The 18,258-nt window shown below is 43.4% G+C and overlaps 1 long non-coding RNA gene and 1 pseudogene across 2 annotated transcripts in view; one reads left to right on the top strand and one right to left on the bottom strand.

Moving 5' to 3' along the window:
• Nucleotides 1-11,331, bottom strand: part of LOC102723753 (HECT and RLD domain containing E3 ubiquitin protein ligase 2 pseudogene) — a 35,989-nt pseudogene extending 24,658 nt beyond the window's left edge. Inside the window, exons 1-7 of the transcript NR_135178.1 lie at nucleotides 11,227-11,331; nucleotides 10,220-10,322; nucleotides 5,304-5,625; nucleotides 5,025-5,154; nucleotides 4,469-4,578; nucleotides 3,799-3,970; nucleotides 2,596-2,770 (exon numbers count right to left, since the gene is read on the bottom strand). The product of NR_135178.1 is annotated as an HECT and RLD domain containing E3 ubiquitin protein ligase 2 pseudogene (transcript). The remainder of the gene's footprint in view (nucleotides 1-2,595; nucleotides 2,771-3,798; nucleotides 3,971-4,468; nucleotides 4,579-5,024; nucleotides 5,155-5,303; nucleotides 5,626-10,219; nucleotides 10,323-11,226) is intronic.
• Nucleotides 11,332-11,502: 171 nt separating this feature from the next.
• Nucleotides 11,503-18,053, top strand: LOC112268315 (uncharacterized). Its single transcript, XR_002958852.1, has 2 exons — nucleotides 11,503-11,635; nucleotides 15,955-18,053. It is a non-coding gene; the product is annotated as an uncharacterized LOC112268315 (long non-coding RNA).
• Nucleotides 18,054-18,258: the final 205 nt, after the last annotated feature.

Genomic DNA, 18,258 nt, shown 5'->3' with positions numbered 1-18,258 from the left:
GTTCATAAAAATACTCAAAAAAAAAGAAAACCTGAGTGGTGGTCACCTATGCAAGTGCTAGGATACCAACTCAATATTATGAAAAATAGTTAAAGGGAGGTGGCAGTTCAAGAAGTCAAGCTTAGATTATGTCCTTCCTGTACAAATTGTACCTCCTGCTAACCAGACAGCAGAGGGCAAGGTTGGTAGGGGATTTTATAGAGGACACGCAACACATGAATTCCCTGGTCTAGCTTCACAGAACTAAAGCGGGGAGCCACTGAGCATTACAGGCCTCCTGAGCCAACAGAAAGCATGCAGCATGACTCCAGACATAACACCACCCCAACGAGACTGAATTCAAATCCAACCAAACCTCTAGATCTAACCAGCAGATTAATGTAACTAACAGAAGAATATGTTGGTCTAGAATAAGAGAATGCAATCAACCAAGTTCAGAAAATGTGAAGTTCTCCAAAATAACCAACTTGCTTCTTTGAAAAAGAAAATGGTATGATCAGAGACAGGGAGAGGAGGGCCTGGAGCCATGTTGTTTGGGGAAAGAGACTAGAAGCATATGTCAACCAATGCCAATACACAGAACATATTCAGGTCCTAATTCAAAATTACCACCTAAAAAAGGCATTTTTGAGATAGTCCAGGAAAATGTAACATGGACTACATGTTAGATTAAGGAATCACTGTTAATCTTATAGACAGGATAATGATATTGTAGGGTTTTTCTTAAATCCTTATCATTAAGAGGTAAAATGCCTTAAAATGTTTTAAAGACAGAGTTATGCTTTAAAATAATCCAATTGGCCGGGCACAGTGGCTCATGCCTGTAATCCCAGCACTTTCGGAGGCTGAGGCAGGCAGATCACGAAGTCAGGAGATCGAGACCATCCTGGCTAACATGGTGAAACCCCATCTCCTACCACGCCGTATTACCGCATTTAACAGGTATGATGAAGCAACTGAACAGGCTATTTTTCCATTTCCATTGCATTTCAACAGAACCCATTAAAAAGTAGTATAAATGGCCCTTAAATACTAATATATTTTAAAATGCTCAAACTATATCAGGGTCACCATTTTGTGCTTTAGCAGGCAAAATCCCAAAAGCCCACACACAAGGCTGGGAGACCAGCATCCCTATTGGTGGTGAGAGAAATCAAGATGTACAGGAGCGATCTGGTGACAACCAGCCCACACTAGGTGCATCCCCACCTGTGCATGTGCACAGGCACACACGCGTGCACACATGGAGGACACATGTTCCAGGTCAGGCCTTGCAGCACTATTTGTGTTTTTTGTTATTGTTGTTGTTGTTTTTTGAGACAGTTTCACTCTTGTTGCCCAGGCTAAGGTGCAGTGGCGCAATCTCGGCTCACTGCAACCTCTGCCTCCCAGGTTCAAGCGATTCTCCTGCCTCAGCCTCCCGAGTAGCTGGGATTACAGGCATGTGCCACCATGCCCCACTAACTTTTGTATTTTTTAGTAGAGACGGGGTTTCTCCAAGTTGGCCAGGCTGATCATCTCAAACTCCAAACCTCAGGTGATCCACCTACCCTGGCCTCCCAAAGTGCTGGGATTACAGGCATGAGCCACCACAACCGACCCTCAGCACTATTTGTGTAGCAACACTGTGGCAATAAGCCCAAGTGTCCACCAATAAGAGACTCACTGAAGAATGATACATAAAAGACATATCTACACACTGAAGACTAAGCTGCTTTATAAAAACAAAGAGCGACACTCTGATAAAGTACTCCAGTATATATGGTTAGTAAAAAAAAAACAAGCAACACAAGTAATGCAACATGCTACCACTAGCATACTCATTCCAGAGAACAAGGAGGTTACAGAGGAGACTGAAAAGCCAGAGAGAGCAGGTAGGAAAATGGGTGGAAGGGGTGGGCAGGGGAAGTGACAGTGTGTCTCTGCCTAGGTTTGATTTTTGAACCATGTGACTGTATTCCTCTTTTTTTTTTTAATGACTGTAAAACAAAATAAACACTCTTCATACTAGAAATAAAATGTTAGAAAAATCTGGATTCAAAACTAGGATTACTGTTATACACTGGCAAAGTTCACTAACATTCCCAAAGGCAGTTTTCTCATTGACATAATGAGATACAACAGCGTGCATGAGGTCCTCAGTGGGCCTGCACCCTACAGGTGCTCCACACATGCAAATCACTACTATTACCATTACTATTACATAACAGATATAATATATAATTATACTGTCACTACTATAACCAGCATTACATACTAAGACAGCCCACGTTCAGAGTATAAAGAAGGCTGTGGAACCCTCTGTAGAAGGTGGGAGGGCCTGGGGCTGTGGCTAAAGGGGAGCTCTCTGGGGCTGTGCCACCTGAACCTGGAACCTGGGCCCCCAGGTTGGGTCCCCAGGCCTGTGCGCCTCAGCTTGCTCATCATTCACTCTCAACACGGATAACACCTTCAACTGCAAACACGTTTAAAAACCACAGGCCAGCTCCCCCTACCAATACCAGAAAAAGCAAGTCTCCACACGGGCCCAGGATGAGAACCTACAAGTGGTACTAGCTACAAAACCCATGGAGAACACGGTTCTTGCACACACACCTTATGAGACGTCGGACAGCTACACGGCAGAGGCATCTACAGGGTGTAGCCAGATCTTCTAAATGGGCCATGACAACAACCGCCGTTTGTTGCAGATCAATGGCAAGCTCGTTGTCTTGTGGAGGGTGAGGTACCTCAGGAAACTCTCACTGGGGCTCAGAGGGCCAGACAAAAGCTAGAAAGGAAAGGTAAACAAACATTCAGAAATGGTGGGAAAAATTAAAGTAATACAGTTAGCCTTTACCCACTCTTTATATTTTGGTATTGACTCATTTGACCCATCAAATGACAATGTCGATGATACAGTTATACTATACATCTATATATTTATGTAGCATACAAACTGACTGTATAAATGTCTAAATGTGCTGTACACATGTACACAACATTGACTGTGCATGTATACATTTATGACACCACAGGTAAGTTGAATCCACACAGATTACTAACATGACCAAACCACCCTACAGGCCTAGGACCCCTGGAGAAAGGCAGAACCACCTCTGTGGGAACCCAGAACAGCATCTCAAGCTGGCCTTGAAATCTAAAACCAAAACCTTTATTTTAATCTAAACATTGCCCACTCTGGAGAACACCTACTTTCATTTGCAAATTAAATCATAGTTCTAATTCTTCTAAAGGCAGAAGAGCCCTATTATCATTAGTTTAAAGACTAACAAATAATAGAAAAATTAAACCAAAGCATGATATTGAAATGCCTAAGACTTTCCCAAAAAGATGCAAAATTCAACTTGTACTTGACCTGTAAAGACCAGCACTCCTGGAGATTTACGCCCAGGGCCCCACATGCCTGCTCCTCCCCCAGCTCGGCGTCCACACCTGTTAAGGGGGGAGCTGGTACTAAACAGAGTGACAGCTCAGATGACATGCCCTGCACAGAGCCCAGTACATAGGAACGGCCAACAAAGAAAGCCACTATTTTCGTTGTTCTTTTCTAGTATTGATTTAAAAGTGCGTGTTTCAAGCTTGGTTCTGTGCTGACAAGGAAGTCGGTGCTCACTGATCCAAGTCTTCTCCACAAACAAGTGGCCTCCCACACCTGTCTCATCTGACTCGCTGCTGTTACCACCAAATACACACACGCCAGAGAAAAACACTGCCGTGGACACACACACTGGTCTTGCGTAAAAAATAACTAGACTTGAGTACCACCTAAACACAACGTTCCATCATGACACTCACGTGCATGTTGCCCTCGGAGGGGGGCGTATCCTTACTGCAAATGATGCTCTGGAACGTTTGCAGCAAGGACAAAAGCAAGGTGCTGGTGCCCTGGGCAGAACGCTCATTGTCAGTTTCCTGTGCCCTGCTGTCCCACAGCTGAAGCAACAACAGGATGGCAGACAACATTTGGCTAAAGGAGAAAACACATTTATTCCTAGTAAAAACAGATTAACTTTTTTTTTCATGGTTGATCAAAAATAAAAGCAAACAGCTAGATAGAAGTGAAGCAATACTTGGGATATGAAAGGAAATGAAAGTAAAGCCATGGTAATTAAATCACTGAATTGACACTAAGATTTTAGCACAAGTCATCGCCTTCTGCTGATAGGAAAGACCAGTTAAGAAGCTCAAAGAGCACATTCACATGGAAGTTCTAGGATCTTAAATTCATGGAATAAAAATAATTAAATGAGGAAAACTGAAAGAAAAAAAAAAAAAAAGAACAGTTCCCAGGCTAGAAAACTGAGCATAAAAAAGGAAGTGAAGAAAAGGTAAAGAGAGAGCGAGCTCTGGGACATGGTGCTCTCTGCTGCAGTCAAACACGATTCAGTGAAATGCACACAATGCAACAGGTATTTGGATACAGAGGCGTTTCCCCAAAGCGTTCCCATTCTGCACAAGCCCTCACCTCAGCGTGCCTCTCTGCACAGCCAGCTCCAGCAGGATGGCCAGAGCCAAGTGCTGGTCCTGCAGGGGCATGCTTCTGGCCTTTTGGTGTCTGGCGTTCCGTGAACATCCCTGAAATGAAAACAGTGGATGCAGGAACACAGCGACCTCCAGAAAGACAGTATGCTTACAATCACACTAACATGTTTACTACATGCTCCCTCCCAAGGAAGGATATATTCTTAATATTTAGAACCAAGTTTCTGAGACTTGCTACTCAAATTTTTCAGAGATTTTTAAAGTATACAATTAACTTACAGAAATGTATTTTATTTAAAGTATTCATTCAGATACCGTATTACAGTAGATGACATACTCCAAGTGTGTGAAGCATAAAATATCTCATTATCCAAAACATGAGTAGAAGAATATCTAGCTACCTTTTCCAGTTTCAATGACGTGTAAGCCTATACCAGTATCAACCTTCTCCTACAGAATTAGAGAACCAATTTCTAAAACCACCTGAGGATCTGGAGGCAAAATGTCTATACTAATTTCTATCTCTGATCAAAGATTACCTGGTTGCTTACTCCCATACCCAGCTCTCCAGAATTGACTTGGCCCTATATACAGGTGCAGGAGTTTCATCTTTTTTCTCTTTGTCATCCAGATCTTCTTTCTTTGTTCCACTTGGTTTGACACTATCATCTGCAGAATTAAAATTTTTTTAATCTGTAACCGCTTTTCAGAATGCCATACCATTAGTCAGTCTCTGCAAATGTCCCTCCCTGAAAAGTTACAACACACATCATTAACTGAATGTTTGACAACTCAAAAATAAAATATATCAATCATACCTGTAACAGATCCAGTATAATTTTCATAAACAAACCAATATATCGGCCGGGAGTGGTGGCTTATGCCTGTAATCCCAGCACTCTAAGAGGCCAAGGCCGGTGGATCACGAGGTCAGAAGATGGAGACCATCTTGGCTGACACAGTGAAACCCCGTCTCTACTGAAAATACAAAAAATTGGCCAGGTATGATGGTGGACACCTATAGTTCCAGGTACTCGGGACGCTGAGGCAGGACAATGGCGTGAACCCGGGAGGCGGAGCTTGCGGTAAGCCGAGATGGCACCACTGCACTCTAGCCTGGGCAACAGAGCAAGACTCCATCTGAAAAAAAAAAAGAAAAGAAAAGAAAAGAAAAGAAACCAATATATCAAATTATTTAAAGCATGTCTTCCAAAATGATATTTCATTAACTTCCTAGTAGATTTCACAACTGAGAAACTTAGTATTTGATATTTACCTACTTCAATTTCACACGAATTGCTTCCATCCATTGAGTCCCAATGCTTGCGTACCCATGGGAAAAGGGAGGGTGTAGAAAAGGAGTATGATTCAAAAATCTTTTAACCCTTTCCAAGGCCCTACTCCACTGCCAACTGGCAAGCACTGCTATGCAGGGGCGCTGTCACTGATAGCATAATTCAAGAGCACTGGGACACAAAGGAAAAGCTGGGAAAAATGACTTTAGGCCACTGACAATGTAACGTTTCAGTCAAAAACAACTGTCATAAAACTCCTGACATAGTAAGCGAAGAGAAGAGAGAACTAACCTTAACCTTGAAGTGTAAACACGGTCCATCACAGAAGGCTGTGACTAAACGTCTAAACAACATAATTAGAAAAATGTACCTCAATCGGTGAAAGACATGATATCCCATCCAGATTATAAATAATGAGTATCTAAAAATCCCTAAGGAAACAGTTCCTCTGTTTACAACACTTCTGACGCCAAATGTATGGACTTTTGCACCAAGCAATTCTCCAGTTCTTTGCGACACCCAGCTATGTGTCCCACAATGCAATTCAATTCTGAAACTAACTACCTAGAATTAGCACAGACCCCACAGGTTAATAACAGGAGAGAAAAGGTACAATGCTGGAAAAAAAATCTAAAGAACTAATAGCTGAAAACTTCCTAGGTTCAGCAAATGACAGAAACCTAGGCAGATTGAAGAATCTGTGCAAAGCCCAAACAAGATAAATCCAAAGGAAGCCATGATGAGGCACATCATAATCAACTGCTAAACACTAAGGACAAAACCTTTTGAAAAGTGCCACAGAAAGTAGATACAGAGGAATGTCTTGTGTGGCCTGAAATTAAGACTAAATATTATGTGCTGCCTTGACGTCAGTAAAATCAAGAAGGCCTCAAATAGCCTAACCACAAGGTCTCCTCCAAGCTCTGCTCCCACGGATAAGATCCCAGAGCCAAACAACCCTCCTTATCGCGGAGACCCGACCCCAGCCTGCTCATCCCTGCCGGTCCAGAGTTATTCCAACAAGCCAATCACATCTTCCCACGGAAGCAAGGTCATTTCACCCTCTTCTTACTACAAAATGTGCCTCCCACAGCCCCTCGTGGTTCACTCTGTTCCCAAGTGCAGCCCCCGTGTGACATGCGGTGTCCCCCACCCCCAGGGCTGTGAGCATGCGTGACTAATAAACTGCTATTTCATCTGTCCAGTGTTGGTGTCTTATGTTCAGCCATCCCATATCCCTAAGGCAGGAATCTTCTAGGATTATAAACAGAACTTTAATCAACCTCTCCTTGGTTATTTTACTGGTTCCATGATACAGCTTTTTCTGTGCAAAAGATCTGAACAGAAACTTCACAAAGGATACAAGAGTGGCAAAGAAGAACATGATATTCAGCATTGTTAGCCATTATGGAAATGCAAATTTAAACCACAATGAGATCCCACTAGACGTGTTAGAATGGCTCAACTAAAAAACACTGATAACACCAAGTGCTAACAAAGACACAGAGCAACAGAAACGTGACAGATTACCAGCAGGAATGCAAACTAAAACAGCCACTTCGGAAAACAGTTCAGCACATGACCCAATTTTCACACTACTAGGTCTTTATCCTAGGGAAATGGAAACTATATTCACACAAAATCTGTACAGAAATGCTCACAGCAGGATTACAATTGTGAAAGAAAAACGGAAACAACCACAAGGTCCTACAATAGCAGAATGGATAAACACAATGTGGTACATCCAAATGATGAAACACCATTCATCAATAAAAAGAACTATTAATACACAGAACAACAATAAATCTCAAACATATAACTAGGAGTAAATGAAGATGGTTTCAAAACGTTACTTAAAATATGGTTCCACTCACATGACATTCTCAAAAAGAATACCCTATACTGATGGAGAACAGATCAGTGGTTGCCAGGGTATGAGGCCAGGGGATATGTGATAAAAAGCAGCACCTTAAGGGAGCTTTTGGGGTGATGAAACTTCTCCATCCTGATGATGGCGGGGGTTAAATGAATCTATAGGGTCAAAATTTACTGAACTAGATACCACAATAAAATAAATTTCATGTAAGTTTTTTAATAAAAAAAAAGTTGGCTGGGTGCGGTGGCTCACACCTATAATCCCAGCATTTTGGGAGGCCGAGGCGAGCAGATCACAAGGTCAGGATTTCGAGACCAGCCTGGCCAACATGGTGAAACACCGTCTCTACTAAAAATGCAAAAATTAGCCAGGTGTGGTGGCATGCACCTGTAATCCCAGCTACTTGGGAGCCTGAGGCAGGAGAATTGCTTAAACCTGGAAGGCGGAGGTTGCAGTGAGCCAAGATCGCCACTGCACTCCAGCCTGGACCGCCAAGTAAAACGTCATCTCAAAAACAAAAAACAAACAAACAAACAAAAAAACAAAGAAAATATCTAGGTCCAGGTAGGACAGTTGGAATACAGTCCAGTGGAATCATGTCAGAGCAGGGAGCTGGGTCTGGAAGGCTGGAGCAGGGCGTGGCCCCACTCTAGGAAGGAACTAGGAAACGCATCCTGGATGAAGCAAGAGCAGAGTCCCGTTCTGCAACAGATGAGCCTTTATCCTGATCTGAGAAACTATATGCAAATTTAATACATCTCACTTAGCCTCTTATTTTCCTTAACAACATGGAAAATGAGAGAACAAACAATTCAGAAGGTTAAGACATGAAATACATTTCATTCAGAAATCATACACAGAAAGGTAGGAAATAAATGGGGGAAAATAGCAGCTAATGAAAAGTGAAAATGGGCCAGGGCAGTGGCTCACACCTACAATCCCAGCACGCTGGGAGGCTGAGGCGGGCGGATCACTTGAGGTCAGGAGTTTCAGACAAGCTTGGCCAACATGGTGAAACTCCAACTCTACTAAAAATACAAAAATTGGCCCAGCATGGTGGCAGCCACCTGTAATCCCAGCAGCTTGAGAGGCTGAGGCAGGAGAATTGCTTGAACCCAGGAGGCAAAGGTTGCAGTGAGCCAAGATAATGCCACAGTACTCCAGCCTGGGCAACAGAGCAAGACCCTGTCTCAGAAAATAAAATAAAATATTCATAGTCTTAATAATGGAAAATAAAAACATTTACTGAATGCCAAAAAATCTCCCTAAAAACCCCAATCAGTTGGGATCTACATAAAGAACAATTATGCTCTGCTTTCTAACCACAATTTTTAAAAGAACAAAGGACAAAAATATCCATCAAACGTGGGCCGGGTGCGGAGGCTCACGCCTATAATCCTAACACTTTGGGAGGCCGTGGCAGGTGGATCATGAGGTCAGGAGTTCAAGACCAGCCTGGCCAATATGGCGAAACTCCGTCTCTACTAAAAATACAAAAATTAGCTGGGCGTGGTGGAGGGTGCATGTAATCCTAGCTACTCAGGAGGCTAAGGCAGAGAACTGCTTGAACCCGGGAGGCGGAGGTTGCAGTGAGCCAAGATCATGCCACTGCACTCCAGCCTGAGCAACACAGCAAGGCTCCCTCTTGAGAGGAAAAAGAAGCAAACAACAAATTCATCAAATGTAATAAATAAAACATATACTTTGGATTTTTCCATGTGCTTAGCTTTTCTTAGAGCATCTTTTAGAATTATTGTTTCACAAAAAAACACTTTGGGAAATGTTTTAATTTATTAACAAATACTAGGGCTAGGAAGAGAGCTTAAAACTTTTTAAAATATACAGAATGAATTACAGATACGTGAAAGAAAAAAAAAAAAAAAAAGATTGCTGACTCCTGTCATGGAAGGCCCTATCATATGGACATTCTTAGCCTCAGCATCCGGAGGTCCAGAAAGGGACAATTTCGAGTCAGAGAGAATTCTATATATACCATTTATTTGGAACCTTCAGCCCTTAAGATTCCAACATCATGACCTCAGTTTCAACACAATTGTCCTTAGACCTTGTATTGCATACAAATACAAAACAAACACCTCGACTGAACTAACTCTTGTCTCTCCAAAAACACAAACACAAGACCTCATAAAATGAGTGCGTTTCTATTGGCCATAATTACTGCAACTTACTTCTCCAACTTTCCCCTGCACAGTTAACTAAACAGCTCAAAAACTATCAGTAACAAATAACAGTCACCATCATATGGTTAGGAGTGTGGCAGATTTCTTAACCAGTAATAAAAAAATAGGAAAAAAATTTTGCCTATTCATAGATCTCAAGTTTCGTGCACTTGCAAGAAACTAATTAAAAGGCAGCCGTGCACGATCTACAAAAACAGCCATAAAGACTGTTACATTTTAAGTTACAGGAAACAAACCTGCTCCTCTACTATAGCAAGAAACAACTGACTTCCCCTTACATACCCTAAAAAAAAAAAGACTTACACGAGAAATTTAAACATGGAAGCAGAAATACACCAAGAAAGAGACATGTCAAACCCCACCTGTATATCTGTTTTCAACCATTTGGAGTCAAGGCGAGCCTGGGCAGCCAAACACAAATATTCAGAGGGCATCTTTTCTCCAGCTTCCTCCCAGTTCTCAGGCCTGCAAGTAAACATACATGTTGAAGACCTAACGCTTTTTAATATTTTACAAAGACACTCCCGAAAAGTTTAATGCAGAAAAAAAAGAACAGAAAGATGGGAGAGAAGAGCTCGGGGAAGGGAATGAAGAGGAAAGAGAGATAGAGGGAAGAGATGGAGGGAGAGGGAGGTGGGGAAGGGAAAGCCTCCTTCCTAGATAGGCAAGGTATGCCGGGTTTCTGCACCACGCTGGCGAGACCTTGAGAATGGACTGTCACAGGAGGCCAAATCACAATGTCATACCCCTGCCCTCAAATCCAAAAGGTACACACACACATGACAGGAAGCCCATCATTTTTTGTTTTGTTTTGTTTGAGATGGAGTCTCCCTCTGTCGCCCAGGCTGGAGTGCAGTGGCGGGATCTCAGTTCACTGCAAGCTCCGCCTCCCGGGTTCATGCCATTCTCCTGCCTCAGCCTCCCGAGTAGCCTGGAGTACCAGCGCCCGCCACCAGCCCGACTAATTTTTTTTTTTTGTATTTTCAGTAGAGACGGGGTTTCACCATGTTAGCCAGGATGATCTCGATCTCCTGACTTCATGATCCGCCCGCCTCGGCCTCCCAAAGTGCTGGGATTACAGGCTTGAGCCACCGCGCCCTGCCAGGAAGCCCATCGTTTGAACGACAAATGACAGCAGCGTGAATCTGCCGCTTTACCCAACAGCAGGGCGCCTGCATGAAACAAATTACTCAAAAGGCTCACCTGCAGAAAAACCCACAGCCACCACCACTTAGAGATAGAGAGAGGCAGGGGGCTGCGCCGCGGGCGGTCCGCGCAGCAACGCCCCCCCCGCCCCCCCACCCCTTGTGCCGCCCGCCAACCCCGCACCGCCTCCGACGCCGGACGCCCCGGTGCCCCAGGCCAGGACCTGAGGCGCAGGGCCCGGCCTCCTCGCCCCGCAGGCGTGCGCACACAGCCTCCCAGCAGCCGCTGGCTCAGCCGGCGCCCGCGATCCCGACGCCTCTCGCTACCCGAGGGGCGTGCCCGCGCGGGACTGCCGCCCCCTCCACCGACCCGCGCTTACCGCCAATCGCAAGGCGGCTCCGCGGGCGCAGCCAATGGGGAAGAGGAGCCCTTCCCTGCTCCTCCTGACTCTCCCGCTTCCTGCAATCCCGTTTATCTTCCTACTTGGAGCTCACCCACTGCAGCCAGGGCCAACCGCCGGCGCCGGAAGGCGGGATTTCCGCGGCACGCACGCACGCCCGCACTCCCACGGGAGTCAGTTTCTCACCAGCTGAATTATTTGAATTTAGCACCACTAAAAGTGGAGCAATCAGGTACGGAGTGCCTCCAGAGCTGATGTAGCAGAAATCACTGACACCATCTTTTTTTTTTTTTTTTTTTTTTTTTGAGACAGTCTCATTGCGTCGCGGAGGCTGGACTGCAGTGGCATGATATCAGCTCACTGCAACCTCCACCTCCCGGGTTTAGGTGCCTCAGCTTTCCGAGTAGCTGGGATTACAGGCATCTGCCACCCACCCGGCTAATTTTTGTATTTTCAGTAGGAACGGAGTTTCATCACAAACTGCTGACCTCTGGTGATCCGCCCGCCTCAGCCTACCAAAGTTCTGGGATTACAGGTGTGAGCCGCCGTGCCCGGCCTATTTCAGATATTTTAAATATTAAAAAGTAGAACCTGGCCAGGTGTGGCTCACACCTGTAGTCCCAGCACTTTGGGAGGCTGAAGCGGGAGGATCGTTTGAGCCCAGGAGTTCAAGACCAGCCTGGACAACATAACAATACCCTGTCTGTTCAAAAAATAAAATTAGCCAGGTGAGGTGGCACGTGCCTGTGGTCCCAGCTACTCGGGAGGCAGAGGCAGGAGAATTGCTTGAACCCACGAGGTGGAGGTTGCAGTGAACCAAGATCGTGCTACTGCACTCCAGCCTGGGAGACAGAGCCAGACTCCATCTCAAAATAATAATAATAATAATAAGCTTGGGCGGTGGAGGGCTCCCCCAGGCATTGGCCACCTGTGGAGTGACCTGGCTTTTGGCTCCCTGGCAGCCAACTTCTGGGTCGGGCATCTTCGTTGGTGACTGCCCCTTCAGCTCTCCTGGTGTGGCTGTGAGTGGTATGGCACTGCTGTGACCCATCATCTTGTCTTAAAGAGGCATCCTGACATCTCCACACTTGCACACTGAAGAACGCAACATCATGATTAACTTTTTAAAGGAATATTACAAAAATCACAGCATCCGAAAATTTTTTGGTCATTGCAATGATCTTGATCAGGCAATGAGAAAATAAATCCTTGAAGAATGAGTACATGGAAAAGAGGACCAAGAGCAGAGACTATGGCAATTTGATGCAAGAGACTTTTTTTTTTTTTTTGAGACGGAGTCTTGCTCTGTCACCAGAGCAAGTGCAGTGGCTCAATCTTGGCTTATTGCAACCTCCGCCTCCTGGGTTCAAGCAATTCTTCTGCCTCAGCCTCCCACATAGCTGGGACTACAGGTGTGTGCCACCACACCCAGCTAATTTTTGTATTTTTAGTAGAGACAGGATTTCACCGTGTTGGCTATGGCCAGGATGGTCTCGATCTCCTGACCTTGTGATCTGCCCACCTCAGCCTCCCAAAGTGCTGAGATTACAGGTGTGAGCCACCATGTCCAGCCGCAAAAGAGACTTTTTTAATTCTCCAGAGGAATCTGAAAAATAAATTGTATTTTCACTGGATGCCTTGGCTGAGAGAAGACTGAAAGACTATGGGTTGGCCCGGGCACGGTAGCTCACGTCTGTAATCCCAGCACTCTGGGAGGCCGAGGCGGGTGGATCACCTGAGGTCAGGAGTTCGAGACCAGCCTGACCAATATGGTGAAACGCTGTCTTTACCAAAAATACAAAAATTAGCCAGGCATGGTGGCGTGGGCCTGTAATCCCAGCTACTCGGGAGGCTGAAGCAGGACAATCTCTTGAACCCGGGAGGCAGAGGTTGCAGTAAGCCAAGATGGCGCCACTGCACTCCAGCCTGGGCCACAGAGCGAGACTCTGTCTCAAAAAAAAAAAAAAAAAAAAAAGACTGGGTTGATACCTGAGAGAATCCTGTCTTATTTGCTCTCCAGAATCCTTGTAATGAAAAGTGACCCATGAGAAATTGAACCATGGAGAAATATGAACATTTCTGGATTCTGAATATTTGTTGGGCAGTCTTTAGTATCATTTTTCCTCCACCAACAAACCTGACTTCACCCTGTTTCTTCTCTTTGCCTACTACCAGTTATCTCAGTAACTTATCTCCCTGAATAAAGGAATATGATAAGTTAAAATACAATAATTTATTTTAAAAACTTGTTTAAATAGGCCGGGCACGGTGGCTCACACCTATAATCCCAGCACTTTGGGAGGCCGAGGTGGGCGAATCACGAGGTCAGGCGATTGAGACCATCCTGGCTAATATGGTGAAACCGTCTCCACTAAACATACAAAATTAACCGGGCCTGGTGGCGGGTGCCTGTAATCCCAGCTACTTAGGAAGCTGAGGCAGGGGAATCACTTGAACCCGGTAGGGGGAGGTTGCAGTGAACCAAGATCGGGCCACTGCACCACTGCCCTCAAGCCTGGGCGACAGAGCGAGACTCCATCACACACACACACACACACACACACATACACACACACACACACTGTTTATAAATAAATTAATAATTTATTTTTAAAAATTAATAGACTGAATCTGTAGGCTTTGTAATATCTAGTTTATCTACTCCAATACCTCTTGGAGGCATACTTCCTTTATTTGATTTCTGAATTGGGGATCCTATCACTGCAAACAAACAATAGAAAATAAAGAAATAAAGGCCAGGTGTGGTGGCTCACACCGGCAATCCTAGCAATTTGGGAGGCCAACGCTGGCAGATCACCAGAGGTCAGGGGATTGAGACCAGCTGGGCCAACATGGTGAAACCCCATCTCTACTAAAAATACAAAAATTAGCCAGGCATGGTGGCACATGCCTCTACTCCCGGCTACTCCGGAGGCTGAGGCAGAAGAATCGCTTGAACCCAGGAGGCAGACATTACAGTGAGCTGAGATTGTGCCACTGCATTCCAGCCTGGGTGACAGAGTGAGATGAGAGAAAGACAGACAGACAGAGACGGGGTTTCACCGTGTTAGCCAGGATGGTGTCGATCTCCTGACCTCATGATCCGCCTGCCTCGGCTTCCCAAAGTCCTGGGATTACAGGTGTGAGCCACCGCGCTCAGCCAGGTATGTGATCTTGAGCAAGTTTCTAAGCCTCTTTGTGCCCCAATGTCCATTTCTTACAATAGGGATAATAATAGTAACCTTTAAGTGAGTCATTACGCATAGAGTTTAATTAGAAGAGCTCTTGACATACAGCAAATACTAAAAACATTCAGTAGCATCCACAGTAGAAAACGCAGGGCCGGGCGCGGTGGCACACGCCTGTAATCCTAGCACTTTGGGAGGCCGAGACGGGCGGATCATGAGGTCAGGAGATCGAGACCATCCTGGCTAACGCGGCGAAACCCCGTCCCTACTAAAAATACAAAAAAAAAAAAAAAAAAAAAAAAAAAAATTAGCCGGGCGTGGTGGACGGTGCCTGTAGTCCCAGCTACTCGGGAGGCTGAAGCAGGAGAATGGCTTGAACCCGGGAAGCGGAGCTTACAGTGAGCGGAGATAGCGCCACTGCACTCCAGCCTGGGTGACAGAGCGAGACTTCGTCTCAAAAAAAAAAAAGAAAGAAAGAAAACGCAGAGTACATAGCACATGGTAGATACTGACACTGCGCTGAGTCTCTTACAAACATCGTCTCATTTTATTCTCACAAAACCCCAGGAGTTTGGTATCTTTATTCTAATTTTAAAGACGAGAAACTGAGGCTTGAAAATATTAGGGATATGTCCAAGGTCACGGCGGAGCTTGCAATGAGCCGAGATCACGCCACTGCACTCCAGCCTGGGCAACAAACAGAACAAGACTCCGTCTCAAAATAAATAAAAATAAATAAATAAATAAATAATTAAAAAAGATGTATTTGGATGGTTAATGCATTTTTAATGTATAATCATCTACTGTAGTTAAAAGATGATCAAATGTGCTGATTCACTCAGTGTGTTTCAAATGCAGGACTTAAGGAACAATATGCCATAAGCCACCAACTTATTGTTTTCTTTTAAATTATATATCTAACACGCATACATACACACACACACACACACACATATATACAAAATGTTAATAATGATGAAAATTTTGAGCATCATGAAGAATAGTATATATGTAATATATGTTTTTTCACAAGAGTTTTCCAACTTCTGTACTTTTTTTTTAGTAGAATACATTAGATACTACAAAAGAAATGAAAACAAAATGATGTGGAATAGCATGTAAACAATAGAAGGAAGTTTTTGAAGACTGTTACAACACAGCTTCCCTAGCTAATAATACCTGAGAAAACCTGCACATGTGGCATATATGTGTCGCTACCTTTTAGCATATATAATGGGTTTATTAATATTTCTTCATAGCATTGATGGGATGAATATATAAAATAGTATCTATAAATACCTAGACCTTTGCTGGGTGTATAGTAAATATTGTGTTAAAATAGAACTCTTCCATCTTTCTGCAGAAATACTCTATGCAGTGATTACTTCTGGCTGTGATACATAAAAACAGGAAAATCTCAATAGAGAAAAAATATGTATTGATGATACATAATCTGGATTTTTCCAAAGAACAAAAACTATGAATTGGGTTGCAAGGATTTCATGTTAAGACAACAGTAAGAATAAAGACATGGAGTAGAAGATACACACGTTGAGTAGGTTTAACAGGCCTGAGCAAAAGATGCATATAATGAAACGTCACAAGAACAGACTAGAAATTCCTCTAAGCCTGTTGCGAGAGCCAAAGAAAATACATCTGTATTTGACTGTTGATAATGAGGAATTTCTGAAAGGTTGACCTATAGAAGTTCTGAAAAAATGCTTCTAAACAAACCAGATTCCTTTGTCAAACAGATAAGGGAAATTATGGATATGTAATGCCACTTTAGAAATTTCAAATGCACATTAACAAAGCAACAGCAAAAAGCAAACCCCATTTAACATTGTTTAACCTAGATTTTATGAACTTATTTACCAAGGAAACTCTCCCATCTGTATTTCCCTACTTGTAATACTTATTAAGAATCACTATTTTGGTGTCGTTGGAATTTACTTAGAGAAATGCGGTCTAACCTCTGCTTTAAGAAGACAACTCTGGCAGAACTATCAATTGGAAAAAGAGAGTTTAGATGCTAGGAGGCCATTATAATAGCTCACTTGAGAGCTAATCTGTGCATGACTCTGATGGGAGAAAATAAAACTGAGAAAAAGGCATGCATTGGAGGCAACAATCCTTGGAATGTGATTGACTGTAGAGAATAATGAATGTGGAAGACCCAGAACAGACTTTAAAATGTTAAGCCCAAATGACTGTCTGACAGGTGGTATCTGTAACAAAAATTGGAAACTCTGAAGGAAGAACAAGATTCTGAGGAAACGACTAATTTTTTAATGTGTTGAGCTTGAGGGCCTGCTTTGGAACTAACAGGCAGCTGAAGATTTCATTTCATGTCAAAGAAACTTAATTTAAAATCCATCAAGTACTAAACTCAGAGCTAAATGTGAAGGACTGAAATACCAACTTGCCCACCATGTTAGGTTTATGAGAGCTCAATGCAGAAATGCCTCTGAAGTGGGAAAATCTATAATTTCCCCGAAGAAGCACTGTCTGTGCTCTGGAGGTCAGAAACTTTCTAGACTCATGTCTTCATTAGGGCAGATCGAGAAGCCTTTTAGAAATTAAATTTTGGACATGCCCATGTGTCCTCTGAGCCTGTCCTTTCTGTCAGAAGTCACGCAGAGACCCAAATGTCAAAAAGGGACACACTCTTTTGTTGATGCACAAGATTGTGGCATTCCAATCTCTTTCTGAAAATACATTATTGGATTCTTTGCAGCCAAATTCTTAAGAAAAGTTTGGTATTGGAGACTAATATTCCATGAAGAATTACCTGAAGCATGAGGAAATCATCCCTTTAGATCAGTGGATTTTTTGCTTTAATTTTTAAATTGACACATCATTGTACATATTTATAGGGTATAGGGTGATATTTTGATTAGATCAGTGTTTTATATAGCATGTTATGTAAAGCTTCTGAGAAGAGTCAGGGAGCATCTTAGAAAGCAAAATGGAGTCTGTAAACAGACATGTAATGAATACTAAGACATGTAATGAATCTTCATGCCCTCCCAGATATTTCAGAGACATCCAGTTATGTTGGGATCACGTGGAAAGATCTAAGAGACTCTGAGGTGAAGTGCCATGAATCACTCTGGGGCTGAGGCAGTAAAAAGCCCCTGCCTCCTTCCCAGGTTCTCTCCTTTTCCACTTCCAGTACTTTGAAGGTTACGTGCAATGTGTGTCATAGGTTAATGATAGAGGAGTTTATTCTGACTGACATTGAACTTTATGGGAGCAACCCACAAACTTTGGTGTGGTTGAGCCACTGAGAATTCAAGCTTAGTATCTTCTTGTTGCTGTTGCTGTTTACCAACACTGTGGTATTTCTACAGGGCTCAAGCGGGCAGAGAAATTCCATGTGAACAAGAATGTCTCATGTTGGGCTTCTGTATAAATTGTGCTGTTGAAAAATGTTAAGCAGATAAAAATTTTAGAAATTCATTGCTCCACACTGTATCGATACTATTTTTGTCTCAGTCGAAGCCATCCTAAAGTTATATATACTTAGATCATATAATCTTCAATAGAATTGTTTTTATCAAGTTGCTTTTTGATGTTATAGATGAGCCTTAAGTAATTCACAACTGAATTCATACACAAATGTTATTGAGTCTATTTCCCACCATGTTAGAGAGGTTTATGAGAG

This window comes from Homo sapiens, assembly GCF_000001405.40.
Source record: "Homo sapiens chromosome 16 unlocalized genomic scaffold, GRCh38.p14 Primary Assembly HSCHR16_RANDOM_CTG1".
Classification (NCBI taxonomy): Eukaryota; Metazoa; Chordata; class Mammalia; order Primates; family Hominidae; genus Homo; species Homo sapiens.
This window is presented reverse-complemented; position numbering and strand designations above follow the sequence as displayed.